Raw genomic sequence first — 6,037 nt, forward strand, 5'->3', positions numbered from 1 at the left:
AAGACTTCCTAAAAAGCTAGTTATCAAGACAGTGTGATATTAGCATAAACAGAGACACCTACATCAGTAGAAAATAATTGACAGTCTAGAAATAGACTCACACAAATATGGGAAACTAACTTTTGACAAAGATGAAAAGACAATTCAGTGGATTAATAGTTAATCTATTATTAACACATATTATCGTCTACATTTAATGCTCATAACAACTCTATGAGGCAGGAATTGTTATTATACCCACTTTTAGATGAGAAAACTGAAGTCAAACTAGTTTGTCCAAAATTTAAAACTAGTAAGTGGTAGAACTGGAATATAAACTCAGTTTGACTCCAGAATCCATGCTCTTAATCATTCCACCACATGTTACAATGTGCTTTTCAGGAAAACAATATACCAGGTGCCACACTCTGAAACCATTGTTCCAGGAAACCATTTTTAAGAAATGTAATAATTTACTAAGAAAACTAACATTTAAAACATTGTAGCAATGGAGATTTTAAAATAATTTTAACGTTCTTAAAGCAGCCACATACTTCAATCATTCATATGGTAAATACTTATTGAGCATGGTTAACTATAGGACATACTTCTTATTCAATTGATACATTACCATCATATCAATGAGGTTCTCTATTAGAAAAAAAAAATTTAAGGTTAGTATAGGCTATCCCTAAAACAGCATTTCTTTGCTTTCAAAATCCATTTATTTTACAACCTCAGATTAGCTTTCTCCCATTCTTTCACTTCTGAGATTTGACTGCACAGGATTGCATAAGATGTAAGTATATTTAACATAATAAAACATAATTGTAGTTAAGCCACAAGGAAGAAATCTTTCTATCCAGCTTGGCTGTTACCACTGCTTTGTGCTTAGTGGAAAAATAATACATATCCTGAAATTTAACATTCAAAACAGGCTTGATGCCTTAAAAGGGAGCATACTTTGTAAAGTAAATATTTAAACACCAGTATCCATTTAACTTTAACTTTCTAAAACCCTATTTCATATATCTAGAATAAAGTACAGTGCAAGTTTTCTTAATCAAATGCTATTTAACCAATTTACCAGAAAAACCAATGCTCTCCATTTCCTCTACAAAACACACTGATTGATGGCCAAAACATGCTGGAAATTTGCAACTATAGACACCTCTGCAGCAGGCAATTACAATTAAGTTTTCTGCTTACCAAGAGCCAGTTGCACTTGTTTCCAAATGTATTTATGCTGGTTCTATGTGTTCCTTTACTTATGTAATTTAATCAAGTATTATATAAACCAATATAAGTGTAAGATGAGTGCAAGAAGAGAATTGTTTCTATAAAAACTTAGTCAAGTGTTTGAATTGCCTTTGAATATAATATGTGTAGGTTAAGTGTAAAATTTTAGAAGTTTTTCATAAAATTACAGAATGTAGAAAAGTTCTTTATTCATCAGCTTTGTAAATGTCTTTAAATTCCTTAAATAATCTGCTTTAAAGATAATGAGGCCAGGCACAGTGGCTCACGCCTGTAATCCCAGCACTTTGGAAGGCCGAGGTGGGTGATCACCTGAGGTCACGAGTTCGAGGCCAGCCTGACCAACATGGTGAAACCCTGTCTCTACTAAAAAAATACAAAAATTAGCCAGGTGTCGTGTTGGGCACCTGTAATCCCAACTACTCAGGAGGCTGAGGCAGGAGAATTTCTTGAACCCGGGAGGCAGAGGTTGCAGTGAGCCAAGATCACACCATTGCACTCCAGCCTGGGCAACAGAGTGAGACTCTGTCTCAAAAAAAAAAAAAAAAAAAAAAAGATAATGAAACTTGAAAAGTAGATGAAGTATTGTCAAGTGTGGTTTGACCAAGAAAGATGACAGGAAACTCTGTAGGCAAAGATGCATAGGCAAAAGTAAGGCTGAGAATTAAATCCTCACCCTTTTTCTCTCTTGCCCAAATTCCTATCTAAGGAATCTGGGGAGCCATGCTCTACAAGCCAAAAAAATATCATCAGGTGGGTTTTATTTAACCCTACTTGGCTTACTTTCCAACCTGACTCTGGCATAATATCATATGATGAATAAAGAACGAAATCAAAATATTTTACCCCAAAATATGTTCCTTTGCCATATTTTAAAATGGTTCTGCAAAGCTGGGTTTTGTGGGGGAAATTTGCAACTATAAAGAGTCCATATTAACATACAGATCTCTCCCCTTCCAGGACCTCCCAGTCCTGAAGAGGTCTAGCACCTTTTAAAGATATGAATAGGAAACATTTCCTATCTATTGTCTCTAAAGGCAGCCACCTATGAGACTTCATAAGAACATTGGTCTTGGCAACCCCTTATCTTGACCCAGACACTCTTTTCTACTGATTCCAAGTCTTCAGATAATAGCTTCAACCAACTGCCAATCAGAAAACCTTTGAATTCACCAATGATCTGATAGTCCCCTCACCCCCACTTCCAGTTCTCCCACCTTTCCAGACTGAACCAATGTATATCTCACATGAGTGGATTGATGTCTTATGTCTTGCTAAAATGTATAAAGGCAAGCTGTAACCCAACCACCTCAGACACACATTCTCAGTACCTCTTGAGACTATGCCTCAGGCCATAGTCACTCATATTTGGCTCAGAATAAACCTCTTTAAATATTTCACAGTTTGTAAACTTTACAAACTCTGTAAAGTATTTCTTTTCGTCAATGAGGCTATGGCTCTGCCTAAAAGATTGGCTAATCACATCAAGCTAAAAAGCTCTTGCACAGCAAAGGAAACAATCAACAAAATGAAGAGACAACCAGAGTGGGAGAAAATACTTGCACAACTATCTGACAAGGGATTAATAACCAGAATATGTGAGGAACTCAAATGACTATAGGAAAAAAATCTAGTCTGATTTTCAAATGGACAAAAGATTTGAATAGACATTTCTCAAAAGAAGACAAACAAATGGTAACCAGGCATATGAAAATGTGCTCAACATCACTGATCATCAGAGAAATGCAAATCAAAACTATAATGAAACATCATCTCACCCCGTTAAAATGGCTTTTATCTAAAAGACAGGCAGTAACAAATGCTGGCAAGGATGCTGAGAAAAGGGTACCCTATACACAGTGGGAATGTAAATTAGTACAACCACTATGGGGAACAGTTTGGATGCTCCTCAAAAAACTAAAAATAGAGCTACCATATGATCCAGCAATCCCACTGCTAGGTATATACCCAAAAGAATGGAAATCAGAATATTGAAGAGATATCTGCACTCCCATGTTTATATCAGCACTATTAACAGCCAAGATTTGGAAGCAACCTACGTGTCCATCAACAGACAAATAGATAAAGAAAATGTGGTACATATACACACTGGAATACTATTCAGCCATAAAAAAGAATGAGTTCCTGTCATTTGCAACAATATGGATGGAACCAGAGGTCATTAAGTTAAGTGAAATAAGCCAGGCACAGAAAGACAAACATTGCAAGTTCTTACTTACCTGTGAGAGCTAAAAAGTGAAACAATTTAACTTACAGAGAGAACAGAATGATGGTTACCAGAGGCTGGGAAAAGTAGTAGGCAATGCAGGGGGAGTGTGGATGGTTAATGGGTAAGAAAAGATAGAAAGAATAAGATCTAGTATTTGATAGCACAACAGGGTGACTACAGTCAACAATAATTTATTATTATTTTAAAATACTAGTATAATTGGATTGATTCTAACACAAAGAAAGGATAAATGCCTGAGGTGATGAATACCCCACTTACCCTGATGTGATTATTAGTGTATGACTGTATCAAAATATCTCATGTACCCCATAAATACATACACCTACTATGTACCCCCCAAAATTTAAGATTTAAAAATATTTTAAAATGGCTAAAGCAGTACATGCATGTATTGTTATTATTTCTCACTTTTTTCAGCTTTACTGAGGTATAATTGATACATAAAAATTGTACATATTAAAGGTGTAAATGTGATGCTGTGATTTACACTTACATTGTGAAATGATTACCACAATCAAGCTAAGTAACACACCATTACCTCATAGTTACCTTTTTTGTTGTTCTAGTTGACTTTTTCATTTAACCCACAACTAATTTTAAGAGTATAGAGTAAGAATGGTTCTGCTTAATTGATGCTTCCTGTCCCCAAGGATGCAGGTCGCAGAGATGCCCAGGTCCTGCACCTAGGAGGGCGGCCTCAGGTGCCCCGGGGAGTTCCCGCCCCGCCAACTCAGAAGGGGTGGGGTTCCTGCTTGTCCTGGCTCCTGCCTGCTCCGTGGAGCCGGAGGCCCAGGTCTGCAGCCGCGGTTCAGGAGGCTGCAGCTGCACCTGGGAGGGCAGATCTTGCCTGCTTCTGGGCCCAACTCCAAGGGAACAGGGAGGCTCGGATCCACAGCAGCAGTTTGGGTGGCTGTGGCCCCGCCCAGGAGGGCGGAGCGCCTGCCTGCTCCGTAGAGCAGGAGGCCTGGGTCTGCGAAAGGGCTTTGGGCGGCCGCAGCAGCGCCTGGGGAGCTCCCGCCCCAACTCAGAAGGGGCGGGGTTCCCACTGGCTCCATGGAGGGTGCAGCCCCAGCTGGGCCTACCTTAAAATGCCAGGGTAATGAGACCACATGATACAAAATACAGTGATGTATTAATAAGGAAACACTTTATATAGCTTTTCTCAAAAGAGGGTGAATGGCAGGCCCTCATGTCATCACGGCAATACATTGGGGTACAGAATCAATAAATCAATACAAATTTAAACCACAATATATAATGAATAATTATAATAAAATTGAGAGTCCAGACTTGTCTGAGCTTGTATTGATAAAATTACCAAATTTGAGTAAAAGGATAAAGAGGGGAGAAAAAACATTAAAAAAGTAGTTGTGTATTTTTAAATGCATAGAGATTCCCCCATTTTAAATCACCATTGCAATATGAATAGCTTTTTAAATATGTATTTATTTTTTCAGATGAATCCCTCTCCCTTTATTTCTGTTCTTTTTTTACATTAGAAAAATCTGACTATTTTTTAAGTGATGAAAAAAATTTGCAAACACACATTATGAAATATGAAGAATCTTGGGACTCACTGACCACTTCAGTGATTATGAAAACTGTAAACTATTTTTAAAAGCAGATTTTTCACTGTTCTTCATTAAGTCTGATTACCTTGCCCATTAGCATTTGGCTCTTTTATTATGATGATTGTGAAATACTGTAGATGTTACCACTAATGGATAAAAAAACTTTACATGGTTATCTTGATTAACTCATCAATAATCATTTGGAATAATTTTTCTTCATTCAGTGAATGGATCATTCACATGCCCTAGAATAATTGTCTACATTTAGGTGCATGAAATTAGCATAAAAACTATCTACCCTAGAGAGCTAGTTTTCACTTCTAACACCACTAAAAGTTAATTCAGACTAACATTTGAAGGCTTTATCAAGTGAGTGAAAGAAAGAAATATGATTCTTTGGCCATTTTCTCTATAATGCTATTACACAAACAGCCTTCCATTTTTAGGGTCCCACACTTACAAATAAAGAGCAAGATTAGAAATGTAACAGCATACCTAAATCTTCCTTCTTGCTATTTCATTTTTGATAAGGGAAAAATATCAAGAAGCTTTTATAAAACAATATAATAGTGACTCCCAGTAAATAGAAAAATTATACAAGTGTATTATTCCACATTCTTCTTTCTTTGATGAAGAAAGAAAATGATAGCATTTCAAGTCTTGTTCTTATAATGGAGTTCAGATTTTAAGTGAGTTTTACATAGTTTGGGATTTGTGTCTCAGCTACTACCAGAACAACTTAGAAACAGAAGACCTTGGTTCTAGTAGGTTTCTTATAGATCAGCTGATCCAATCCAGACGAGAAAACTGAGAGAGACTGTGTAATTAACCAGGACCTCTCATCCAGATCTTCTGACTTGATCCAATAATTGCTTTTTTAAACCACAAGTCATCACTAACACAAATATCCTGAATCTGGCAGGAATCCAGACAAAACAAGAGTATGGAAAAGGTAGCTAAGGGAGATAGAAACTTCCAG

The 6,037-nt window shown here is 36.9% G+C and overlaps 1 annotated feature.

Annotated features, from left to right (window-relative positions):
* Nucleotides 4,264-4,481: a silencer, noted in NCBI's record as "fragment chr10:64684239-64684456 (GRCh37/hg19 assembly coordinates)". NCBI's record gives its function as "represses an EF-1alpha promoter that drives an FKBP-Casp9 reporter gene in an ReSE screen in phorbol 12-myristate 13-acetate-treated (for megakaryocytic differentiation) K562 erythroleukemia cells {active_cell/tissue: K562(+PMA)}" and the evidence as "EXISTENCE:reporter gene assay evidence [ECO:0000049][PMID:32094911]".

Source organism: Homo sapiens, chromosome 10, assembly GCF_000001405.40.
Source record: "Homo sapiens chromosome 10, GRCh38.p14 Primary Assembly".
Lineage (NCBI taxonomy): Eukaryota > Metazoa > Chordata > Mammalia > Primates > Hominidae > Homo > Homo sapiens.